Source organism: Homo sapiens, chromosome 7 (assembly GCF_000001405.40).
Source record: "Homo sapiens chromosome 7, GRCh38.p14 Primary Assembly".
In the NCBI taxonomy this organism is placed as follows: Eukaryota; Metazoa; Chordata; class Mammalia; order Primates; family Hominidae; genus Homo; species Homo sapiens.
The window spans coordinates 36,627,870-36,654,735 of NC_000007.14; the positions used below are offsets into that span (position 1 = coordinate 36,627,870).

The 26,866-nt window shown below is 43.9% G+C and overlaps 1 protein-coding gene across 14 annotated transcripts in view, besides 1 other annotated feature; it reads right to left on the reverse strand.

Annotated features, from left to right (window-relative positions):
• The window catches only part of AOAH (acyloxyacyl hydrolase), a 211,554-nt gene that overhangs the window by 114,929 nt on the left and 69,759 nt on the right, over positions 1-26,866 (reverse strand). For all 14 annotated transcript variants that reach the window (NM_001177507.2, XM_011515334.3, XM_017012102.3 and 11 more), the window contains 2 exons: positions 9,982-10,041; positions 4,167-4,237 (listed from right to left, as the gene is read on the reverse strand). In NM_001177507.2, coding sequence (NP_001170978.1) covers positions 4,167-4,237; positions 9,982-10,041 — 131 coding nt within the window. The remainder of the gene's footprint in view (positions 1-4,166; positions 4,238-9,981; positions 10,042-26,866) is intronic.
• Positions 26,031-26,575: an enhancer, noted in NCBI's record as "OCT4-NANOG hESC enhancer chr7:36693505-36694049 (GRCh37/hg19 assembly coordinates)". NCBI's record gives its function as "activates a minimal SCP1, AML or CMV promoter by ChIP-STARR-seq in primed H9 embryonic stem cells {active_cell/tissue: H9 hESC(primed)}" and the evidence as "EXISTENCE:reporter gene assay evidence [ECO:0000049][PMID:30033119]".

A 26,866-nucleotide genomic window follows, 5' to 3' on the forward strand; every position in this document is an offset into this window, starting at 1 on the left:
TTGAGCTATTCAAGTTCAAACTCCCTAAAATTATTTCATGAAACTGGGGCATTATGACAAAAGAAAAATGGTGAGAATGAATCTCCATGTGTGCCTGCCTCACATGTGAGACTCAGGTAGCTCTCGAGGGCCGGGCGTGGGTTGGTTGCGTATGTGGGTGGATGTGTTATCCAATGAAATGAGAACAGAGAAGCCATGGAAGGGCACACCTGCCTATAGACGTGGCTCAGCTTGGAGGTGGGGGCAGGACCGATGTGGGTGGAAGTAGCAGGGTATGGGGAAGGAGGAGGCTAAAAAGGAAAAAACATAGCATTGAATTAACACAATCAACAAGAGATAGGATGGTTTGCACATATTTATGTGAAATAATATGGGGGTTTCTGCATATAGACATTAAATAAAAAGAATAGATTTTTAAAAAGAGGGGATCCTCCTGACTTACCACTGTTGAAGTAAAATACAGACAGTGTGTAGGCACTAGGTATCCTGATTAAAACAGAACACCAAAAAACTTGATCACTCCATGGTCATAGCCTGATAGCTACACATTTGTTTTCCTGGTAAAGTGGTGCTTTTCCTTCATGTGTTCCCTCATTTATTCATTGAGCTCCTCCTGCTAAGAAATGGGATCCCTGCTCTCCAGGAGCTTATGGGTGATGTGGGAGACCAGCAAGGAAGCAGGGATTGAAGAATGGGATAAGGCGGAGCAGGCACTAGGGAGCTGGGGGCACTGAAGAGGAGCCAGGAGCACCCAGGAGGGCTGTGCAAGCGACTGAAAGTAACCTGGGAGCTGGAACGCGTCCCTGGGGTGGAGACACCTCAAATGAATTTTGAAAGCATTAGACCGAATGGGACGGAGGGCAGGGAGAGGCACTGGGCAGGTAAGGCATTCCTCCTGGGGGAATTTTATCGAAGGAATATGCCACAGAAGACACGCAGGTCTTGTCTCTACCACGTGAGGACTCCGTGCTAGTGGGTCAGGCATTTAAAACCTACTTGTTCCTCTAAAGCGTAGGGCTAAGAGTTGAGGGGTCAATGGAAAGCAAACTGTTGGATTCAAAGGTCAGATTCATCCATTACCGGATCTGTGACCTTGCACAAATGATTTTACCTCTTTAGAAAGGAGAAAATAATGGTGCTGACCTTAAATGGTTGGATTTACAACAGTTTTTGGTGCATAGACAGCACCAGATAACTTTTACTTATCAATATTTTTACTGAACCACAGATGGCTTTGAAGAATACATGAGACTGCATTTATATGTATACGTGCTTTTTAAGTTGTAAAGCACTGAACCAGTTGTGACCTGCTGCATATGACACTTGAAACACAGTGATTTTTTAGAAAGAAGGAAAACACAGTTTTTGCTTTTTCATAAAAGAATAATTTTCCCTTTCAAATTGGACCAAGAAAATCCCTGGCCACTGATGCTCTTGAATTCAATTTTTCAAAGGTGGTTCAATTGAAGAGTTGTCACTTTGACCCTGTTGTGTCCTGCTGGCCCACATCTAACACAGAAAATACAATAATGCATTCAACAGGGAGGGGGCAGGGGGCTCGATTTAATGGGAGCTAGGCATGATGACATGATTGGGGGCCTGGGGAGCTGGCTGCATCTCAGTCTTCCAGCATCTTCTTTCATGTCTGATATCTGCCCCCTACTCCCCATGTCCTGATGCTCTCTGGATTCATCCCCAGTCATGAAAAGGGGTGTTGCTAGCACTTCTGGGACCTGCAATGGCACTTTACATAGCTGGCTTGCAGGGGCTTATGCCAGAAGATTGGCTAGGAAGAGTTTTTAACTGTTTAACTCTTGGATCTCTCTAAGAGGCTCCAAATGTGGGTCTGAATCATAGCCTCCTCCTGTCCCTGGATATTATTACAACAGATGAGAGATGTTCAGTGGACTTAGTACTCATGAAGCTCGTGAGATGAAGGATGGCAGAACAAGGAAAAGTGTCTTTGTTAGGGGTTGAATTGTGTTCATGAAAAAAATATGATGAAGTCCTAACCCCTGGTATCTGCGAATGTGACCTTATTTGGAAACAGGGTCTTTACAAGTGTAATCAAATCAAGTTAAGATGAGGGCATTAGGGCAGACCCTCATCCAATATGAGTGGTGTCCTTGTAAAAGGAAATGACAGGCACCCAGGGAAGATGGCCAAATATGAAGATGAAGCAGAGACTGGAGCGATGCAGCTGCAAGGCAAGGTATGCCAACGCCTCACGGCCACCATTGGAAGCTAGGGAGAGACAGAAGGGATCCAACTAGAATCTTAGAAGGAGCGTGGCCCTGCTGCCATTTTGGCTCTGGACTTCTGACCTCCAGAACTGAGAGAGAATTAATTTCTGTTGTTCTAAGCCACCCAGTTTGTGGTGTTTTGTAACCGCAGACATAGGAAGCTATAGCTTCTCAGTCCAGGTGTGCAGCCTAACTCTCACCTCTGTGTGTTCTCAGCCATCCACAAGGCTGAGCTAGCACAGGCTAAAGTAATAGGAGCTCCTGCGGGAGAGGAAGAGTAAAAGAAGCAGGGGCTGGGGCAGATGGTGTGGTTAAATAAATATCTCACGGCTAAAGAACATTATTCTGAGTCATTAAAGCATCACTTGTATGTGTAGCATTCGCAGTCTTGCACCTGTACTAGAAGGCGAGCAATGGGGTGGACATGGACACCCAGGAGTCTAAGTGTGGGGTCTAAGGGCCTAAGAATTCCCTGGAAAATTTCCAGGAAAACACAGCACTCCCCCACCAGGTTTGGGGCCAAGGAATCTGGATTTTAAAACGTTTCAAGATGATTCTGAGACATAGGCATAATTTAGTTTATACTTAAATTTTAGATATGGGGAAGCTGAGGCTCAGAGGCTCAGAGACATTAAGTGGCCCAAGTTCTCAAAGTCAGCTCAAGAAGCAGCATTGCAAAGAAGTCAAGAATATGTATATTCCCAAAGAACACATGAGATCAAATGCACCTGGGGGTGTATCTTGGGTCCTCAGTGGCCCAGCAGAAGTTACTTCTTTAAGGCTCAGTTGCTTTCTCTGTGAAATGGGAATAATAATAACCCTTACCTCATTTTATTGTTGTGAGAACTAAGTGAGGAAACATATCGAAAGTTCAGCATCTGGCACCTGGAACAGCGCCCATAAACCTGATAGCAGCAAAGCAGCAGTGGTCATATTAGAAGTAGCTTAATGGGATGGGCTTGGTGGCTCACGCCTGTAATCCCAGCACTTTGGGAGGCTGAGGTGGGTGGATCACTTGAGGTCAGGAGTTCAAGACCAGCCTGGCCAAAGTGGTGAAACCCCGTCTCTACTAAAAATACAAAAAATTAGCTGGGTGTGGTGGTGTGCGCCTGTAATCCCAGCTACTAGGGTGGCTGAGGCAGGAGAATTGCTTGACCACGGGAGGCAGAGGTTGCAGTGAGCCATGATCACGCCATTGCACTCCAGCCTGGGCAACAAGAGCGACACTCCATCATCTCAAAAAAAAAAAAAAAGAAGTAGCTTAGTGGAGGGTAGACCCCATGCTATTTTGCCTCTGAGTCCTGTGCCCTCTCAAGACATGGCTTCACCCTTTAATGTTTTGAACAGCAGTTACCACGATGTCTAGCATAACCCCAGACTCAAAGTGGAGCTGGAATATGGACAGGAGGGTGTGGGAATTCTGGACAGTGTCTCTGCATTCACAACCCTATTCCTATGTATCTGAGCCAGATTTTTCATGTAATAGTTTGGGCGCTGTGAAAACACAGTCCCTGTCCAACCTTGTGAGTGTCTTGCACTAAAGATGCTCAGAGTCTTCTCCATGCCCAGTTGCCCACCCTGGTCCATAGTTCACATGCAGAGAGGGGCTGTTTCCAGGTGTAGTGCAGTGGGCACCTCGCTGGCAGGCACTTGCCGGCAGTGAGCCTCACTGCGGGCTGCATTCTAGCCTGGGGAACAGATCAGCTTTGAGATGCAAAGATGCTGGCATTCAGTATATTTCCCAAACGATTTTCTTCAGAGCTCATTTGTCTTTTGGTTTCTGTGCAATGTTTTGAGAAAGAAACACTCTCACCTTCAGGGATGCCTTTTAAGTGTGAAGATCATTTTGGTCATTAGAAAAGGGGGACAAGCAAAGACGTTATTACATGCTAGTGCTCAGGAAGGTAGAAATTGTATACATACAATTTAATTTTCTGGCAGATCTTGGCCAAAACCGGGAGTGAACAAATGTCAGAACCACTTCTAGAATATTTCTGGGGAGAAAAAAAAAAACAAAAAGAGAGTTGTTTAGTTTAAGGAGTGGTTCCCCACCTTCTAAAGGCCCCTCTGAACTTGAGGTTTCTGGATCCTCCTTCCTCTAGAATCCAGCCCATTTCACCTCTCTAAATTTACCTCTTGTTCCTGTCCCCACCATCCATATCCATGCCACTGCCTGTGCCTTTGCCCATCGGGCTCCTCAGCCCGAAGCCTTCCCTCCTTCTCTTCCAGCCAGCTCTTCCCAGCTTCCCAGCCACCCTCACTCTCCACCTTGTTCCAGGAGGGTCCGGCAACAGCATTCCTCTACCCAAGTGCTTTAAAAATAAAGAAGATTTTCAAACAAAATAATTCCATCTCATTATGGAAATAAAAACTAAAGGGAGAGACCAATCTGGGGTCTGGGAGGAAGGAAGGTCCCTTCCCCCACAGAGGAGAGAGGTGCACAGACCAAGCCCCTTGTGCTTCTTGAGCTGTGGGTTTCTAGACAGCGATTTCTATGAGGCTCCAGATGTGGGCTACACTAAAAGCCCTGACGTTTTACCAAGCAGTGCTTTTAGAAACATTGCAGTTTCCACAATGCTTTCCTCAACTTAAAGAAAGAGAAGAAGACAATAGGGTAGAAAAGTGAGGCACCAGCATTTATCAATGAAGGGAGAGAGACACTGGATTCCTGCCAGCCCTGAGTCCTTCGAATGGCTATGAGGAGTGTTATGGGCATTGGCGATATTTGACCCTGGCAAGAGAGAATCAGCAACCGTTTCAGAATATAAATGAGGTACTTAAGGATTTTTGAGATGCCTGCCCAGCTTTCTAGGAGGAGAAATAATCCTGACTGGTGGCCCAGCTCCATGTAAGATGTGGAGACAAAGAGGCTGTCCTTGTCCTCAGCTCTCCGTGGAGTGGAGGGCAAGGGTGGAGGCCCCAGCTCCGGGCACACCCTGTGGGGTCTGCAGAGGCCAAGGCACTAGCACGTGTCTCTAGGAACCTGGAGGAGAATGCAGATGACCCTGCAGTGAGGTGGGATAGAGGCAGGTGGGGAGGAAGAGAGACGGCCTGAGGCTTTGTGACTCAGTGCGGGCCACAGCCTTGCTAGAGATGCACATCCTTGCCTTCCACATCCCCACCTCAGGGCTGCTGAATTGAAAACCCTGGGGTGGGTCGTGGCAGCCTATGTCTTCGTAGCCCTCCAAGTCATTCTGGTGCCCACTAAGGCTTGACAACCACTGCTCTAGGTCTGTGTCACTCAACGTGTGATCACAGATGAGGAGTATTGATGCCACCTGGGAGCTTTCAGAGATGCAGAGTCTTGGGCCCTGCTGCAGACCTACAAAATCAGAATCTGCATTTTAACAACGTCCCCAGGATGCACACTAAAGCTGAAGTAGCCTGGCTCCCGGAAGAGGGAGTGCCCGAGCAGTGCTGTGGAGGTATGAGAAAGCTTGGTGTCTTAGAGGAATGCCAAACATTCCCACCTGGAGGGAGAATCGGAATGGCAGAATGCAGTGAACCATGGAAGGAAGGAGACAGGACGGGGAGCAGGGGCCTGGAGTGCAGCACTACATGTTACCCTGAGGACTGTGGGGAAGCCGTGGAGGTGTCAGGCAGAGGAATCACATTTGCGTTTCGGAAAGATGTCTCTAGGCGTGGGAAGATGGCCTGGAGAAGGATCATTTGAGATAAGAGACCCCAAGGCCCTATCTCAGGGTTTCAAACCTCGGTGCTATTGCCATGTTGAGCCGATAATAATTCAGTCTTTGCTGTGCGGGCTGCCCTGTGCACTGTGAGATGCTGGGCAGCATCTCTGGCCTGTGACCCCCAGATGCCCGCCGCACAAATCTGCCTCCAGACATTGCCAAATCTGCCTCCAGACACTGCCAAATGTCCCCAGGGTGGGAGCAAGGGGCAATATTGCCACGAGTTGGGAAGCACTGATGGGAAACAGGGCGGAGGAGGGTGATGGTGTGAAGAAGGGGTGGTTAGAAGGGTGACTCCAGAGACTTAGTAGCTGACTAAGATCAGGATTGTGGACACACTGCAAAACAAGCATCAGCATAAGCTTCTACTAAGGTAGGAGACCACTCCTCATATTGTCTTATGTCCAATTTCTGCCTCCAAAGAAAGAAACAGTAAAACCTCGAAGGCAGAAATGAAATCCACAAGCAGACAGCTCGGCGCCACACCCTGGGCCTGGTAGTTAAAGATTGACCCCTGACCTAATCGGTTATGTTATCTATAGATTACAGACATTATATAGAAAAACACTGTGAAAATCCCTATCCTGTTTTGTTCCAATCTAATTACCGGTGCATGCAGCCCCCAGTCACGTACCCCCTGCTTGCTCAATCAATCACGACCCTCTCACGCGCATCACTTTAGAGTTGTGAGCCCTTAAAAGGGACAGGAATTGCTCACTCGGGGAGCTCGGCTCTTGAGACAGGAGTCTTGCCGATGCCCCTGGCCGAATAAATCCCTTCCTTCTTTAACTCGGTGTCTGAGGAGTTTTGTTTGCGGCTTGTCCTGCTACACTACAACATTGACAGCACTTCGGAAATACAGACACTATCTGAGATCCAGAGTCCAAAGTCAGGTTGCATTTGAATGTTTGAGGTACTTTTAATATTCAGTTTAGTCTGAAGGCCTTGGTCTAATTCTCCTAACAACAGTCTAGATTTTAACACTGGTAATAGCAAACTATTAAAAATTGATATGAACAGTTTTATAATTACTAGACAAAAGGTGCAATAGAATACTATTATATAATTGCACAGCTGTTTGCTGTCAAAATTCAGCCTGATGGCTGCAGCTGTCTTTGCCATTCATTGTGTAGAAATTGGGGTTAAGTGGGTGGCAGATGATATAGGGGCCCCTAGAATTCCTCCTGGTTAGACTGAGGTTTTGATTATCTGGTCTTTTCATTACATAGTATGGGAAAGACCACCCTTCTCTTACAAAGAGAACTGAGATGGGCCCCGAGCAACATTGTATGAGTCTTGCTTGCCTATTTGCCAGCCTCCTCCTTTCAATTTGAACTTTGCTAGATAGAGACAAAATGTGGGCTGTTATTAACTCAGCAATACATTTAAAATATTGCAACTGGCTGCATCTAATCCCATCTAAAATGAGAGTCTCAAATCAGGGCTGTCCCTGGGGACAGGAGTCATGCAGCATCTTTGCTTTGCAATCTATTTAACCGGCTTCCTGAGCTTCCCCATGCACCAGGATGTCAAATGAATGCAGAACAACAAACGGGTTGAATAAAGAAAAATGGGCTGAATGGGGTAAATGGAAGGTCAAAGTGGGACAGTCATCACTCTTCTGTACACAGCCAGGCTGAAACTGAATTTCTGTGTGGCAAAGTGCTTTTCAACCCTTGTCGTGTATTATATTACCTGGGTTTAATTGGTCTAGGGTGGGGTTTGGATCTCGGCAATTTTTATAGGCTTCCCAGATGATTCTATTGAGCGGGTGGGTTTGTGATCAGGGCTGTCATTTGTAACTGCACAGGTTGTCCACTGTACGATCCCAATATCCGCATAGCCTGTGACGTAAATGGTGCTCCCCAAAGTTTAGTACTAAGGAGGCCTTGTTGAAAGCTACTGGCCTAGTAGAAAGGGTACTGAACGTGGAGATAGCTAGCTCTGGATTTAAACGTGGGGTTTCTCACCTACTAGCTATGTGGGGTGAGCACATAACTTAACCTACCCGAGACTCAGTCCTCTCATCTATAAAATGGGGCTGATGACAAAAATACTCTATCTATTTGAGAATGAAATGATTCCATAACTCAGGTGCTCTTAGATGCTCGATGCTCTGCCAAATCCATGAAATGTTCCCTCTAGGATCCTCTCATGGCCTCATTGAGATCCAGGCTTTATCTGGAATGTTTGATCTCCTTCAATAATGCATAACTGTTTTCAAGTCTGAATTCTCACCAACCGATAGGCTGTGCTGAAATGATATGGAACCTACTGAGTGCAGCTTTCTGTACCCTGGCCAGGTCTGAAGTTATATCAGCCATCACAGTGGAATTATTAATTACTCTCCGAGCAGTTTTTTCAGACACACTTATTTGCATTTTCTGTTTATTTTTGCCTTGATAGCTGTAATCTGGAGAGCAAATAAATTGGTGGAGGTTTCAGAAGAGTATTTTTATTGTTGAATTGTTCAGTAGAATTTTTTTTTTCACTTCTCGCGAGTAATTGTTGGAATCCTGCCCCGTGAATTATGCTTGCAATTCTGGTGACAGAAGTAAAAAATTGTAAAATCCTAATTAGGAGTTAATGCCAAGGCAGTTTTTGCTACTGAAGTAAACAATGCCTGGAGAATACGTTTTTAGGGGTGTGTGGAGAAGAATAAAATACCAATTGTATTGTTCTCCATTTCTGCTCAGAGTTCTGAAGGGGGTGGTCAAGAGTTTCCTGTGGTCTTTTAATATCTTATTCAACAACTTAAGCAAATTAGCTCAACGGGCTACTGTTGGCCCTTAATTATTCACTGAATTAAATAATGATTGTCAATGCAGACATTGTGATTGATTAATCAGTTATGTAGAAATGCCTACATATTGCCTGTCACTTAACATGTATTTATTGGCCTTGTTCATAAAAACCCATAGGCCCTCCATGAGCAGAGTTGCCAGATAAAATATTACACTAGATATACTAAAACACTATTCGTTGTTTATCTGAAATTCAAATTTAACTGGGCATCCCATATTTTTACTTGCGAAATCTGGCAAGCCTAGCCATGAGGGATTTTCCTCCCTTTTATTTCTATGTTGCCAAATGAATAATACCTCAAATGTAGTGTATCAAGGTGAATGATGAGCTAGCCAGCAGGGAGAAGCCAAGGACGAGGTCTTTGCCCTCCCATTGCCCATTGCTGATGGATGCTTCCTTACTGCCAGTATCTTTGGCATTGAGGATAATGTCGTGCTTTAAAGATCTACTTTTCTGCTTCCTTTTCAAATGGGCTGATTTGCAACCAGGGCCTAAGTCAAATACGTAAGCCTGCGAGAACTGATCTGAAATAAATATTCTATCTGTTGAACGAGAGTGTTATTACACAGAGGACAAATTAAGGAAACATGAATAAAAATTATGATAACTAACTCACATTTATCGAGGACTTGGTAAGTCCTAGCCAAGATCCCAGATGCTCTCTGCACTCTCAACTCTATCAGTACTGACACTGGAGGACGCTATTATCATCCTTGTCTTACAGACAAGAAAACTGGGGCTCAGTGAAGTTGAGCACCGTGCTTAAGGTCACATTTTTAGAAAGTGGAGAAGCAGGAGGATACAGCCTCCTCCAAGACGGTCTACTGGAAAGCAGCAGTTCTCAACTGGGGGTGATTTTGCCTTCCAGGGGACATTTGGCAATGCTGGGAGGCATTGTTGGTTGTTGTGACTGGGGAGGGGTGGATGGTGGTGCTGCTGGCATCTAGTAGGTAGAAGCCAGGGTTGCTGCTGAACACCCTACAAAGCCCAGGACAGCCTGCACAACAAAGGATTATTCTGCCCCAGGTGTCAGCAGTGCTGAGGCTGAAAAACCACACTGTAGTGAGAAGGCAGGAAACACAAGTGGAAGCAGTTCACATTCCTACTTCCATCCCCACGTAGCTATGGCATGTTGCAGGCTTATATCCGGAGTAGTCCTTGCCTTTGGGATGTGAAAGCCGGGGCCAGTGAGAGAGGACATGCCAAGGAAAAGGCTGGCGTTCTACGTGCTTAGTGCTTACCAGAATCGGGGACTTCTTGACAATTTGTCTTGCCTTCTGTAGTGTAAATTTCCATGTCTCCTATAAAAACAAAGTTAGAGAACATTACAACTCATGTTTTATCTTTTCTTCCTACATCTTTTCTAAAATTAGGATATTTAAAGTCCATAAGTTTTCAATAAATGAACCACTCCATAAATTTGTAATAAAATAATTCACAAGAAGGCAATTTCACATTAATAGCTCTTTTTATTTTGGGCTTTGCTTTGTGTCAGATGCAGTGCTAAGCACTTTGGAAACATTATCTTATTTACTCTTCAAACAGCCCTGTGAGATACGACCATTTCATAGACGAGGAAACCGAGATGCAGAAAAGCTAAGAGATCTCATAGGGTCTGGCAGAGAGGCAATCTGAACCTCTGCTTCCTGACCCTTCTGCTACGCTGATCTCCATAAGCAACTTATCCTGGTGTCTAAAACCCCCCAGCAGGAGGCTGTCAACAGCCTACTTGAGTGCCTTGTGCTTTGGCAGTGAAGAATGGCTGATTGTTGCTGTGCAAGCTAACACCTCATCTCTCAGTCACCTCCTCTTCCCCTGGTTGGAGATCTCCTGTCCTCTTTCAACCATTTTGAGAGCATCTAAGTGCATCTTCCAAGGGTACACACATTGCGAATATAAAGAGTTAGCTCATTACTACCAGTAATGATTGCTGTGAAACTCCAAAGAACACTGTGTTTGTCTATTTGTGGAGGGGTGGGAGAAGAGTAACCCTGGGCTGGGTGGGGAGGAGGAGGGTTTTCTCTCATCACTACTTCCCAGAGCTTTCAAACCCAACTGAATGTGCATGTCCTGGCCCTGCCAAATCCCTCCTGGGCCTGCTACCTGTACAGCCCTGAAGTAATCTGCTCAACAATTGGAAAGCTCTGTCTGCTGGCTGCTAAGAGTGCGTGTTGATGACTCAAGAGGAAAAGATGCTCTTCAGGTGGGTTTGGTTGCCAGGATGCCCTGCTACGGTGTATGTTTCTTAAAATATTGAAAGACTACTGTGCCAGTTGGTGAACAGCTGTGTCCCTAAGCCCCTGAGAGTCCTCCACTCTTGCTCTGACCACCCAGCCTCTTCCTTGGACTCTCCCAGGCCTCCTTGTGATCCGTCAACTATGGGGCCACTGTGATAGTCCCACCCAGTGGGCATCTGCAGGCTGTGCTCCAACTGCACCCAGTATCCATTCTGATTAGTTGGCAGTAGGCCAAAAGAGCTGATCCCAATCTTCACTTTTAAAACATGACATCTTTAATACAAAAGCTGCTTAGAGAATGACCCCATTCAAAAACTGACCTCATTAAATGCACTTTTGGCCTTTTCTGGAAATTCTAGCAAACCCTAAAATTCTCCTATTGTATAAATTAAGATTCTCTGGCATAGTCAGTGTAACAGACACCAGATTTTCATGCAAACTATTCTTATGGTGACTTTGTGGCTACTTTTATCAGCAAAGAGCTCATTCCCCACATTTTAAAATGTGAAGGTGGTAGTCCTCTGCCTCAATCATGTGCCCCTGCTTCTCTGTCTCAGAAATAGTCCTTTGCATTCTCAGGCCCAGTTTAAAATCTTCAGAGCCTCGCACAGTCCTTGAGGCATAGTAGGTGCTCAGTAAACATGGAAATAAAAGCAAAAGAAAATAGTTACGATATTATGTTAAACGAGGAAAATAGGCTACCAGATTTTATGCACATAGGAAAAAACCTTGCAAAGGAATATGTTATAATAATGATGGGTGATAACTTTTTCCTTTTTGCCTTTTTCTGGTTTTCTAAATTTTAAACAATGAATACCAATTCAGTAATAAATGCTTTCAAAAAAGAGCTCAATCCATGTTGTCTTGTTTCTTGTTGAAGAAAATGATGTGCTCCGTGCACTGATATGCAAGTGAAGGCCCTGGGGATCTGGTGGTGAACCCCACGGTGAATGACATAGACATCCCTTCCCTCCCAGAGCTTTCTCCCTGGCAAGGGGACTGACCTCGAGCAAGTACAGTAAACAGAAATAAGATGAAGCAGAGAGAGGGCTGAATCCCTTTGAGAGAACCAATCTCATTTTAACCAAGCTCGGTTCTCTGGGGCTCAATGTTTGTTGGGAGGTAATGACAAGCTATGAAAACAGGATGTGGCAAGTGCTGCAGCAGAGGCTGTGCTGAGGCGGGATGGGTGGCTTGTGTGTCCTCCCGGGAGGTCTAGGGTGGGTTCATCTGGATGTGGCTGGGTTTCCGATATTGGTGCACATGGGGGTGGCAGCAGGAAGCCAGGGCCGGGGCTGCAGGGAAATGCACCAGCTTTTGCCAAGGAGGGGGAGTCGAAGCGTCCAAGAGTGGGAACAGAGTCCTGATCCCAGATGGACATCCAGACTCACCCATTTACTCAGCACCCACTTCCAAATTCCAGTCACAATAACTGCTAGGAAAATCTGGGTTTCTGCTGGAAATTGGGGATGGGTAGGACCCACAAACTAGAAAATTAGAAGCATTTCTGCAAGATGCAGTTTGGGTAACATCAAATTGAAGCAAAGAGGGAGCAGTCAGGCCTTTAGCACTCTCAAAGGTGAAGGCTACATGGGGAGTGAGGGAAGGGACCCTAGGGTAGAATCCCACCAGCACCCTTGAGGCCGGGGCAACAGGGGCTTAGCCAGCACAGACAGAGTGGCTGTGTGTAGGGTGCAAGTTTAGGTGTAACAAAGATGTGGAGGCGTGCCCTTGGACCCAGGGTTGTCTGCAGCCTTTGTCTCGGCGGCACTCACCACTGCCCCTTGGCAGAGGCTGTCCCCATGTTTAGGGATGGCAATCTGGTGGTGATGGTGACAGAGTTGTCCTGCAGCTGCCTTTGCAGGTACTCTACCTAAGATTCAGAAAATGGCAATTGACTCTACCCAACAATAAAGTGAATAGTGGAGGGAAGCTCCAGAAGCCACCACTGGCTCCAACCCTGGGCATCACCCAAGGCTAGAGAAGGACCCCAGCCTGGCCGACTTGAAGCCGCTGCAATGAGGTAGAAAAGAGCCTGCAGGAAGCTCATGGCCTTGAGTAGGTGGGGAAAGGTGAGTAAGTCAGAGATTCCAGGCTCGGAATAGCTGTGCACAGGAGCCGAGGGGGCACAGGTGCAAAGGACAATGGTTTACATCACCCTCAGGGGTTGAGAAAGCTTCTTAGGGGACCTGCAGCTTGAGCTAAGCTCCTACTCAAATCCCTCTTCACCCCTAGAAAGTATACATCCTCCCTACTTTACAGCGCAGTCCACCCAGAGGTCAAGCACCTCACGTGATCACAAAGGTAGGGGCAGACTAGAGGGAGGTCTGCTCAGGAATCAGGCCCAGAGCTTTCAGTCTTCAAGACTCATGCATGGCTTTCTTGTTTACAGTGTGCCAGATCATAATAAAAATGGAGTTTCTGGCCTTCAAAACTGGCATCACAGGGATTCACCCGGGAACTGCCATTCTAGAAGCCCCCCCTCCTCAGCCCCCTTTGGATAATTTTCCAGTTGCAGCGCTGAAGTCTTGTTCCCCCAATGACTCTCAGAGCTCCTGGGCAGGGGCTTCGGGCTCTGGGCTGTAATTTTTGATTTCCCTTAACATCTTCAATAACATTGAGCCCAGGGCATGTAGGCAACAAGTGCCTGTTGACTTAAATTCACAAAATTATGAAAATGAGAAAGACTAAATAGAGACTAAGAAAGGGCTGTAATTTTCAGATATTTCCTTTGAAAGCTCGCTACAAGGGTTGCTTCCTCCTGAAGCCTTCTCAGCTTTCCTAGCTTTCGGGCCGAGCTTTCCTTTTCTGTTTCCTTTGCATTCTACATTATAACACACTCCCATGCATACATTTCGCATTCCCCCACTAAACCTCAAGCTCTAGGTAGGTGAGGACGGTAACAGTTGCCTTTATGCAACTCCCTGACCCCCTTCACTCCCTACGTTTGCACCTGCCATGCTACCTTAGAAGAAATAACATTGACTGAACAGAGGAATGAGAAAATGTCTGAAAAATACAGCCCTTTCCCAGTCTCTGTTTAGTCCTTGATCATCAGAGCACACAGTAGTATATAGCCACGGTGGCTCACTAAAACACTTCTGTCTAGAATGATTTAAGCGTCTACCCAAATCAAAGCCAGCCCAAAGTCTTCAGACAAGAGGAGAGGCTTGGGGACTACTGACTGCTATTATGGGTTGAATTTTGAATTGTCTCACCTAAATTCATATCTGAGATCATAACCCTGCAGAAGCTCAGAATGTGACCTTATTTGGAAAAAGAGTCATTGCAGGTGTAATTATTAGGTTGATGCAAAAGTAATTGCGGTTTTGCCATTAAAAGCAATAGCAAAAACCGCAATTACTTTTGCACCAACCTAATAGTTAAGCTGAGATAAGGTCATATTGGAGTAGGGTGGGCTGCTAATCCAGTATTATTAGTATCCTTATAAACAGAACACTGTGCAAAGGAAGAGAAAAAGACACATAGAGGGAAGATGATGTGAAGATACAGGGAGAATGCTATCTACGAGAAATGTCAAAAATTCCCAGCAAACCACCAGAGCTAAGAGAAAAAGGCATAGAACAGATTTTCTCTCACAGCCATCAGAAGCTAACCCTACTGATTTCTTGACCTTGAACTTCAGCCTCCATAACTGTCAGACAATTGCTTTCTGTTGCTTAAGCAACCCAGTTGGTGGTCACAGCCCCCACAGACTCATACAACTCTCGCTCTCCAGGGTGATTTTTGTTCTCGACCTTGAGCTAAGAGTAATTTGGATGATGAAAGAGCAAGGGCCAAGTGCTCATCACCATCAGTATTTTGGGCAAAGTGGTACTGTTAGTATCTGTACTCTGCCAGGCGTAAGCCACATGGGAGCCCAAGGAAAAGAAAGAAAGTACTGTGGTCAGATTAAACCATTTGGATGTGAGCAAAACATCCGTCTTCAATAGAAACTCTTTAAATATTGGTCTCTATTGCTATTTCCTATTTAAAATGATTTTGGACCATAGAGTGTTTGTGGTTTCAAACCCTGGCTTCATTAGTTACTAGTTGTAGGACCTTGGGCAAGTTACTTAAGCACTCTGAGCCTAGTTTCTTCATCTGTAAAGTGGAGATAATAGCGTTGTGAGGATTGACAAAGATTGTACTTAAAATAGTGTCTTGCATATTAGTAAGCATGACATTAGTATTAACAATAATTGGTGTTTTTATTTTGGTTTGTAATGTCACCAGTAAACAACTGGAAAGAGTATAATAATTGCAACATCAGCCTACAGAAATGTATGCTTTTTTTGAGGATCCTGAAAATCACCCTGAGAAGAAAGTATTACTGTTCCTGTTTTACAGATGAGAAAACTGAGGCTCAGAGAGATGACACAATTTAACCCAGGCCAGTCTGCAAGCACAGCTGAGATTAGCACTCTAGTTTCTAGACTCTAGTGCCTTTCCCACCACTGAAACACTGTTTTCCAAGAATGAAGTAAGCCTGAAATTTTAACATAAGCAAGAAAATATGATTGATGAGGTTTCACCAGGCCTTGGGGAATGGCAAGTGTGGCTCCCATGGAGCGAGGATGGTTTAATGCAAAAGGTCAGATACCAAGGGGAGAGGACTGGCTCTAGGTGTCAAAAAGCCACGCACCTGGGTGGAAATTCATGCAACCCAGGCACAAGCATGGTGGCAGCTATATGAGTGGTAAGAAAGGAGAAAGAAGTATTCTTCCATTCAATCATTTTTTTGTGCAGTTGTTCATTCTATTCATTTATTTTACAAATACTTACTTAGTGTTTATGTTTGATATGGTTTGGGTTTGTGTCTCTGCCCGAATCTCATGTCGAATTGTAACCCACAATATTGGAGGACTGGCCTGGTGGGAGGTGATTGGATCATGGGGGTGGATTTCCCCCTTGCCCTTCTCATGATAGTGGGTGAGTTCTCATGAGATCTGGTTGTTTAAAAGGGTGTAGGACTCCCTTTGCTCTCTCTTCCTCCTGCTCTTGCCATATAAGAGGTTCCTGCCTCCCCTTTGCCTTCTGCCATGATTGTAAGTTTCCTGAGGCCTCCCCAGCCATGCTTCCTGGTACCGGCCTGCAGAATTATGAGCCAATTAAACTTCTTTTCTCTATAAATTACCTATTTCAAGTATCTCTTTATAGCAGTGCAAGAATGGACTAATACAATGTTGTGCCATGAATTACATGCTGGGGAAATAGTAGGGAATGAGACATCAAGGCTGTTACAATGTAGGAGAGAAGATTGACAGTAAACACTGTAATTAGAAAACAGTTTAGAAAGTGTTAAGTAGTAGTTGCTATTCTCCCTCTTTTACAGATGTGGTAAACTGAGGCTTAGAGTAGGTAAATAACTCCCCCAAAGTCACAGAGCCAATGAGTGGCACAGTCCAGATCCAATTCAGACCCACTTGGCACAAAGTCCATGATTTTTCACTCTGCGCTGGGAGATAGATGTTAAACGGTGTGCTTTTTTTTTTTAAGTTTAAAAAAGTTTGGGAAAACTGAGAATGAATTCCTACCTTAAGAAAGCCACACCATGCATTCGTGTATTCAAGGCTTTGGGCCGCTTTGTGGGAATAAATATTATTTAGATTGTGCATTTCCTAAACATTCAATGGTTTCAGCCTAAGTCCATTCAGCTATATTGACTACAGTGGTAAACATACGAAGACCGTAGCGAACAGAGGATCCTCAGGGACACAACAGAATGTCCTGAGACATTTTTAAGGTATGGTGAATTGCACAGGACACATTCAGTAACTGGGCTTTCTAAGGTTCTGTGATGTTAAAGAATTGAATTCTGGTACACTTAGAAAGGAAAGAAAAATAGTGCTTTTAGGCATGAGTTTCTACAGTGAACAATTTTGAGTGATCAAGTTCTCTGTTATCAATTATAGCATCAGTAGATTTGAAAAGTACAAAATGTGCCTTTGTTCACTTCACACATTTGACAGCAGTGACAGATTCTCACAAAGGAGAAAGCCCCTGGGAAGTAAAATGATGATTCCAAATGGGCGTTTTTTATTGTCAAAGAGCATGCATGAATGAGGGGGGAGGTGGGGGTGGGGGAGACTGCTCATCTACCCCAGATCTTTTCTAAAAGTTTATTAGGACAGGTTGTTCCTCACACCCAAATTCACTGGTATAAACTGATTTTTAAAATGGAGCAAGATTTGAAAGATGAGATCCTCCAGGGATTTTATTGCCCACTGGAGGAGGGAAGTGCATAAATAACTACAGCATGAGGCAGTGTCTGTGCCCCCCACCCCAACCAAATTCTTGGATTGAAACCTGAATCTCCCTATGATGGTTTTCAGAGGTGGGGCCTTTGGGTAGTGATTAGGTCATGAGGCTGGAGCCCTCACAATGGGAGGAGTGCCCTTATGAGAAGAGGCTAGAGAGAGCCAGCTCTCTTTTCTCCACATGAGAACAAAGCGGTCTGCAGCCAAGAAGAGGTCCCTCGCCAGAACCTGACCCTGTTGGCACCGTGATATTGGACTTCCAACCTCCAGAACTGTGAAAATACATTTCTGTGGTTTGTAAGGCACACAGTCTAGGGTACTTTGTTAGAGCAGCCCTAACTAAGACAGGCAGATCAGAAAGAGCCAACAGAGAGGTACAGAAAAGGGCTTCAAGGCAATTTCTATTCAGTAGGAAGACAAAGGCAAGAAGTTTTACTGCTTACGGGTTTTTATCAAATAGTGGCATGTCTAGCCTTTGAGTGAAATTTGCAGGTCTGTTATTAAATCTGCATTCTGCTGTATCCTACAGTGGCAATTTTCCAATACTCAAGATGTAGCTCTATCAAAGCCTAATTTGGTTTTTAGGTTCTGACACTTTCCAGCTCCAATGGGCATTTATGACTTTAAATTATATGCAAAAAATGAAGTCTGTTCACTTCATTTTCTTCTTCCAGGGATGAAAAAAAAAAGGGTAAAAGTAAAAGAAAAAAGCCATTACTTTTAAATGCATCCCCTTTTATCACTGAATGCCTCTTCTTCATACATATTTTACCCTTAGCTAAATTTTCTTCTTTCCTGCTTCTAGGCTAATTTTGCATTGTATAGCTATTAGTATCATCAGAGTATTTAATCACACTCTTGCTATCGCTTCCTATTCTCCAGGCAATACCTTTCTTAAAAAAAGCGTTATTTTAAACAGCATTATTCCCACCAACTCCTTTTCCTGACATTATTATTCATTGATTTTACCACCACCATCACATACCACTCTGCTATAGAGTTCTTAAAGTTCACACCATAGAGGTTCTTCTATGCTTCAAGTTCTATACCAAACATCGTATAGAGTTTATCTCTAAATTTTGTACTAACTTTGCAAAATAGGAAATAACAGTTCTTAACTCTACTTTGTAAATGAGAAATCCAAGACCCGGTGCTGAGTGAATTTTTCTAGGCTTCACAACTAATACCATTGTTCCATTTTGACTGTTTCTTCCCTAGTATCTGGGCTCATAAACAAGCTCTCCAGTACTAGGCTCTGTGGTCTATTCTTATTTATAGTATGTTGTCTTATTCTTTACACAAATAATTTCTGGCAAATTTTGGGTTAATCAGATGGTGGGTATGGTTCAGTCATAAGGGTCTTTTGTTACATAGTCTTTTACTTTTTTTCTATTTGCTTTCAGGTTGTGTGATCAGTCTTACTCTATGTTACACAACAAATCAATTATTTGTATTAGTTTCCTATTGCTGCTGTAACTAATGACCGTAAACGTAGTGGCTGAAAACAACACGAATATTCTTTCACAGTTCTGGAAGTCAGAAATTCAGGGCTAAAATCAAGGTGTCTGCAGGGTTGGTTCCTTTTGTAGGTTCCCAGGGAGAACCCATTCCTTGCCTCTTCTAGTTTTTAGTGGTGATGGCCTCATGGCTCTGAACACTGCCTCTGTTGTCACATTTTTTTTCTCTCGCTCTGATCCTAATGCTTGCCTCTTGTAAGGATTCTTGTGATCACATCAGGCTTACCCAGATAATCCAGGACAATCTCCCCATCTAAAATCCTTAACTACATTACACCCTCAAAATTCCTTTTGCTGTCCAAGGTAACAGACACAGTTACGAGGGACTTGGATATGAACTTGGAGGGTGGAGGGAGATTATTCTGTCTATCATATTTCTCATTCAACAAATAGTTGTTGAGTAATTAATGCATGTAGTGAACTATGTTCAGCTCTGAGGAAATTTCAGGGACTAGCACTATGTTTGAGGAATAAAACAGCCAGACTGTCTCTGCTTTCATGGAGGTTACACCCTAACAGAAGATGCAGACATTAAATATTAATTTTACAATTATCGAATTACAATTGTAATAAGTGCTGGAAAAATGGAGTGTGAAGAACGGAGATGAATCATGGAAGAACTGGCTTAACTTGGGGCATCAGGGAAAACTTCTTAGAGGGAATGACTTTGAGCTGAGCTCTAATGGGGGTGATTAATTAAGTGAAGATGAGGGCCAAGAGTGGATGCTGGGAGAGCAGTGATTAAAGCCTTAAAACTCAAAGGATCTTTTAGAACCATTCCCAGTCATTAGCGTCATTAGCGATTCTTGAGCTGAGGGAATTAATAAGCATGTTCTCAAGAGAGATAGTTGTTGTTTTCTGAATTTCTCAAAAGCAGACAAGAAAAATGTTCATATCTCAAATATCATAGAAATACCTTCCTTGGAATAATTTGATTTCTTCCACTTATCGGAAGTCAATAGTAACTTAACATTTGCATTATTTTTGCTGTTCTTTGAAGAGTTTTAACACCTCTATGAGTTTAATAGCCCCCAAATCAGTCTTAATACAAGTTTAAGTAGACAAATTATACAAGATTCCAAATATGGGTGTTAACAAAAATACAGCTTTGAATCTCTGGCAAGATCATGTGAAATGCTTGGAGAAAAGATGGAACAATAGAGCATAAATCCAGACATAGCATTCCAATGCCATCTTCAGTTCCCTTAGAGTTCTTTTTTTTTTTTTGGTGGAGTATCGCTCTGTCACCCAGGCTGGAGTGCAGTGGCGTTATCTTGGCTCACAGCAACCTCCGCCTCCTGGGTTCAAACTATTCTCCTGTCTCAGCCTCCCGAGCAGCTGGGACTACAGGTTCACGCCATCATGCCGGGCTAATTTTTGTACTTTTAGTAGAGATGGGGGTTTCACCATGTTGGCCAGGCTGGTCTCGAACTCCTGACCTCAGGTGATCCTCCCGCCTCGACCTCCCAAAGTGCTGGGATTACAGGTGATCCTCCTGCCTCAACCTCCCAAGTGCTGGGATTACGCCCGGCCCTCTTAGAGTTTTAAGCCTTCAAATATGCAGAGAGCAACTTAATTTTGTAGTCTCTGATACTGAAAGCCTTTTCTGTTTCTGTGATAATTTCTTGCCTAATCACCATCAGAACTTTGTGAAGTCCAAATACATAGGAGGTGGATAAAATCTCATTTTAATTTTTCACTTTTTAAATTATAAGAAAGGATGAGCATTTTCTCCTAAATTTTCAGTCCTTTGATATTTTTCCCTAAACCATTTGTTTGTGGCCTTTGCTGACTTTTTTTTTCTTTTTGATTTTTTTAGGAGCTCTTTGATTCAAACAGAAAATAATTCATTGTGTGGCATATTACAAAACATTTACCCAGTATGCCATTTGTCTTTTGACTTTGTGAAGGGGGCAAGTTTTTACTAGTCAGATGTATTAGTATTTCCCTTTGTGACTTTTCAATCACAAATTACAAATACAATTGCTCAGGTTTTTTATGGTTCCTTTTTTTTTTTTTTAAGTGATTCAGTCTTTAATCATTTGGGATTTATTTTGCTATAAGGTATAGATAAACATCTAGCTTAAATTTTTTTCAAATGTCTAGTCTTTAGTCCACTGTATTTATTGAGTAATCCAGTGTTTTACCACTGATTTGAAATGCTATTTTAATCAAAAACAAGAATCTCAAATGCATTGGGATATATTTTGCTCCATTTTAAGCTGACTTTCTGTGTCTAGAAGGCCTTGTCATTTATCTCATTGTTCATAATTTCCTCAGATGTTTAAAGGGGAACTTTTAAAAACATTGTCAATTATACAACGTTACAACCAACAATTTGAATTTTGATTTTTTCTCTGTAAAGTTAAGATAATGGAATAACTTTATAATTGTGTGGGAGGATTTTAGATGCTGTGTATATGCTAAGCACTTAGTCCAATTTCAAATCAGTTGTCGTTGCCTTTTATTCTATAGCCCCTAATGTGTACGTATACAATAGAAGCTTAGTAAAGCTTTGAGCTTCAAGTTCAGGTGGGCTGGCACCAGGATCTGTGCTCTTCGACATCGTGTTGAATTGCCTCTCACAGGTAGGACAGAAATTTGATTGCTCTGGAAAGCTGGAGGGGAATGAGTGTTCTGTGAGGTTTGTTTCTATATTTATTTTATTAGAATGGGAGAGACTTGAGCGGGTTACTAGGCCTTCTCATTTTCTTCTTTGGGTGTAGATAACTTCATTGCACCTTTGTAATTAGTCAGCATGAGAGACAGGACTAGCTGGATTTCCTAGGCCAACTAAGAATCCCTAAGCCTAGCTGGGAAGGTGACTGCATCCGCTTTTAAACATGGCGCTTGCAACTTAGCTCACACCCGACCAATCAGGTAGGAAAGAGAGCTTACTAAAATGCTAACTAGGCAAAAACAGGAGGTAAAGAAATAGCCAATCATCTATCGCCTGAGAGCACAGCAGGAGGGATAATGATCGGGATGTAAACCCAGGCATTCTAGCCGGCAATGGATACCCTCTTTGGGTCCCCTCCCATTGTTTGGGAGCTCTGTTTTCACTCTATTAAATCTTGCAATTGCACTCTCTTCTGGTCTGTGTTTGTTACGACTTGAGCTGAGCTTTCACTTGCTGTCCACCACTGCTGTTTGCCGCCGTGGCAGACCTACCGCTAACTTCCATCTCTTCAGATCTGGCAGGGTGTCCGCTGTGCTCCTGATCCAGTGAGGCGCCCATTGCCGCTCTCCATTGGGCTAAAGACTCACCATTGTTCCTGCATGGCTAAATGCCTGGATTCATCCTAATCGAGCTGAACACTAGTCACTGGGTTCCACGGTTCTCTTCTGTGACCCATGGTTTCTAATAGAGCTATAACACTCACTGCATGGCCCAAGATTCCATTCCTTGGAATCCGTGAGGCCAAGAACCCCAGGTCAGAGAACATGAGGCTTGCCACCATCTTGGAAGTGGCTTCTGCCATCTTGGAAGCGGCCCACCACCGTCTTGGAAGCGGCCCACCACCGTCTTGGAAGTGGCCCACCACCGTCTTGGGAGCTCTGGGAGCAAGGACCCCTTGGTAACAAGAACACTGTTTTGAGAAAATCCGTAGAAAAAGAATGAATTCCAAATAGTTTGGGTCTAAAACTTCTAGTTCTCTCTGTCTTTCTAAGAGGCCTTATTCCTAGGGGGCTGGGGACTGGAAACCCAATAGCTGAGGTTAAGTTGATAAATCAATCAGAAAAGGGGTAGAAATCAAGGAATGGTTGGGGAAAAGGATGCAGTTAGAGGGCAAGTGGGGATGCATGGTTTTGGATGTGTGGGAGGTGAGAAGCAAGAGAAGGGACAGTGCTTTCAGACTTGTCAATGACAGCTTTCAGGCTTAGGCCAGCCTCCAGCACAACAGTTCTCACCCTTCAGTGCTCGTCAAAAGCGTTATGCAAATGCAGATGCTCAAACCCTACCCAGGAATACCAGAGCAGGCGCCCTGGGATGAACCCTATGTTTATTTCTGAAAACTGCTTCACATTCTCAAAGAAGCCGAATGCTTTGAACTCTCATATAGTCCACTGAGACCAGATACATCCTCACAAGGGAGAAGGTAAGGTATGTTCAGGACTGCCGTTCTCATCCTATTTTTTACTAAACAAATCTTACAGAGCACCTACTATGTGCCAGGTACTATGCCAGTCCAGGAATAAGATGGTGAGCAAGAAAGACACGGTCCTTGTGTTCAGACGGTATCAAAGAAATAAAGTGGTGTGAGAGAGCAGGAAAGGGGACCTTCTTCAGAGAGGTTGGTCAGGGAGGGTCTTCCTGGAGAGGGGGTACTTAAACCAGCAGGGGAACAAGGCGCTGGCCATGCAGGGAACTGGGAGTTCTAGGGAAAGGGCCCAGCACAAGGGGCTGACGCAGGCGAGGTGGAGTGTGCTGGGTGAACTCTACTCTACCCTGAAGGAGTCACCTCCACTCCTGTTCCCTCCAGGACCAGCTCAGCCCTCGTCTGCTGGGGTTTCTGTTCCTCCTTGCACCCTGTGTGACAGCACTTCTCTCTTCCTCACTGTTTGTCTATAGCCTCCTGCTAGAATATCCATTTACATTGCTATCGCATGCCATATGTGCTGGAATACTGTTCTACTTAATTTATTCTACATAAATATTTGTTGGCTGATAAAAAGAAAAACAATTATTCTGTAGAAAGTATGGGACTTCAGGAAAGTCTCTCAGTTCTCTAGGTATCAGTAGACTTATTTATAAAATGACAGAATCATATTTGTCCTACAGACTTGGGATAGTTAAAAAAAGATAACTTATTAGGGTACCCGGCTGTGGGGATGGTACATGGTAAGTGTTCAAGAAATGTTTGTTGAGGTATGACTAAGTAAGCGAACATGTCAGTGGTTTCATTGTTACTGAGAAAGTTGGGATATTGTGCAAGATTCTTGAAAATTAAGCTGTTTATGATATTTTATGAAAACTAAAACTAAAGCTGCCTTTAATTCCCTCTGGCTCTGAGAAGTGACTATTCTGAATGTGCTCCAGAATCTATGCTAAACACAGGCAGTGCTGATGTGAAGAGCTGGAGGTCTAAAGTCCAGGGCCCTGGGTTGAGTTCAGATTCCACTCACTACTTATGAGCTTTGAGTAAAGGCTTTAAGCCTCAACTGCAAAATATGTTTGATAATTTTACCTATAAAATAGAGTTTGACCTGTGATACTGGGTTAAAATTAGAGATATCAGTATGAGCTCACATCCACATACACACACACAGAGACACACATACAGACACAGTAACAATTGTAGGTATTTGTGTATACATGGGTTGTATACACATATACTTTACTTAGCACTCCACAAAGAAGACCAGGACCTAAGAAGGCCAATAAGCAATGACATCCCAGTAGCAATGGGCATACCTAGCACCCAGATCTTGGTTTCCAAATACCATTTTCCAGTAAAAGGAACCAGGTCTCCTTCGGGACATGCTGATTCAAGGACAGGGGCAGAAGAATATAAGATAACAAGATGAGCCTGGATCATCTGGTAGTACCAGAACATAAAGTAGTATGGAACAAAAAAAAAATAGGACAGAGGCATGTCAAAAGGACACAGGAGCCACCCTAAGCTTCCAATGGTAGCAAAACTGGAAAACTGGAAAAATTTGTGCAATAAAATAGTGTATATTTGAATTATAACTCAAAGTATAAAATACGTATACATGAATCTGTGCTAATATAAATAAATGATTGGCTAATTCAATAAATTAGGGAGGAGAGAGATGTTTTTTACATAGAAGAATTTCAAAAGATATGTGTAGATATTCCATGTTCTGGGAGCAGGGGCTTGGTCCTCCCTGGCCTCACTGAGTGCAGGCTGGACTTAAAGACTCACTTCTAAAGAACTGAGTAAAGGAAAAGGGGGAAAATAGTGACTTTGCAGTTGGGAAACCTGGCAAATGACCCTTTCACCGAGTGATGAAGGGTGATCTCACCAGCAATGCCATGTGGCATCATTTAACCCTGATAGGATGTGATGAAAAGGGTGCTTCACCTCTGTGGTGTTCTTTCCAAAAACCCCTAACACTGTCGAACCAAGATGAAGACATCAAACAAATCCCAATTCGAGGAACATTTTACCGACGTACTTAACCTGTATCCTTGAAAACTGCCAAGGTCATGAAAAACAAGGAAAGATGAAGACTCTGTCACAGACCAGAGGACACTAAAGAGACATGAAAAAGAAATGCAATGCGTGTCCTCGACTAGATCCTGGAACAGAAGAGGACATTAGAGGAGAAGCATGTGTAATCCAAATAAAGTCTGGACTTGATTTGCTACTAAGGTATATACAGTAGTAATACTGACTTCTTTAGTTTTGACTAAGTAATAGTAATGTGTTCACATTGTGGGGAATTAAACTTGGGTGAACAGTATACTCTCTTGCAGTATCCTCACAACTTTTTATAAATCTGAAATTATTACCAAAAAACGTTTATTTGAAATAACAGAGTTTGGGGGAGACTAGACAATAACACATGTGACAGTGTGCTGTGAGCTCATAGGGCTAAAAACAGCATTATGAGCATCAGGTTCTTTGGATTGTGCAGAATGAAATTTAGTGATTACAGAATCTCAGGAAGTGTCCAATTTCCTGTCTATCTGTGATTCTTTTTCTAAACACTACCACCTGAGACAGTCTACTAAAAGAGATGCCAGGTATTTTATTTGACACCTAGTGTTTAAAAAATAAAAGTGAATTCCTGAGGTCAGCTTGTTTATTGCTTAGGCGAAACATAATTTGTCATGCGTCACTTTCTCATATAAAGAGTGAAAATTTACTTCTTGCCAAACCCATTTATGTCACTTTCCTGGTAGTTTGGATTCCAGGGAAATATGATTCCCTGTGCATACACACCCTCCCCCACACTCAGCATCAGAGAGCTTTTGGTTCTTGTAGAAATGCAACTCACTGTGGGAAAAGCTGTTTCAAAGTCTGGGTTGCTTTCCTAAGGCAGCAGGTCTCCCTGCCACCCAGCAGTTCAGGAGGCCCCAGGGAAATAAGGAGAACCTCTCTCCACACAGGGCTTACATTCTGAATATGATTCTCTTTTAATGTAGATCAAAGTGGCTGAAGTAAGTCTTGAGTGTGCCTTGGAGATGTTGGTAAATGCAGCATGTTCCTCCAGCACTGCTGTGGTTAGGAAAGGAGTCAGTTCAAAGCTACGAGGTCTGCCTGGAGATCTCAAGTTCAGGGACCCAAACGGGAGTGGCTTAAAGCTAAGGAGGCTCCAGGATGCTTCTGGCTCAAGCAGGGGCTCATGCAATGTAACATTCTGATCCAAAAAATAGAGCTTTAAAGAACCACTGGATACACACGAATAAGTTGCATTCGGTTTTCAATTTGTGAGCTGTGGTGTTAGAATCATGGTTTTGGACATGGTGGGAGGGTTGGGGAGGGCTCAAGGGAGAGCCAGTCACGTGCATGCATCCCTGTGCGTGTGTGCGTACACACACACACACACAGCAGCAGCAATCAATGCGCTGTTTCATGTGCAAATGAGAGGAGCGGTAAAAATAAACTCCCAAGATACGTAACACAAAACCACCTGGGTGGTCTTTGCAGTGAGGCCTGCAGCTATTTTTCCTTCCCTTTCCTTCCTGTCCCTCTTCTCTTCCTCCTTTTCTCCTCTCTCCTTTTTCTTCTTCTTCTTGTACCAGTGGGACATCGTAGATTTTTCTTGCTTTAATTAGTTATGGATGAAGTTTGTCCTTTTTGAGCACACAGTAGATAGTGGTAGGGAGACACGTCCACAGGACCGGCAAGAAGTGGGCCTGGAATTTCAGGTGGGCTGTAGATGATGAATAGGGGTTCACTGTGAGCCCCAAATGCAGTTCCACCTTTAACTTTTGGCCTCACTGAAGCCAGATCTCTGTTGCTCTGCTCTGCTTGCTTCTGCGCTATGAGCTCCCTGCTACAGAGGGGCCCATCCATCCTCTCCATCCCTGCAGCATGTATATCACAGGGGAGACTGCTTGCGTCACATTATTTATATTGTACTAGAGTCTGAAATGTGTGAAAAGCCAGACATAGAGCGTGCAGAGTCCTGCTTATG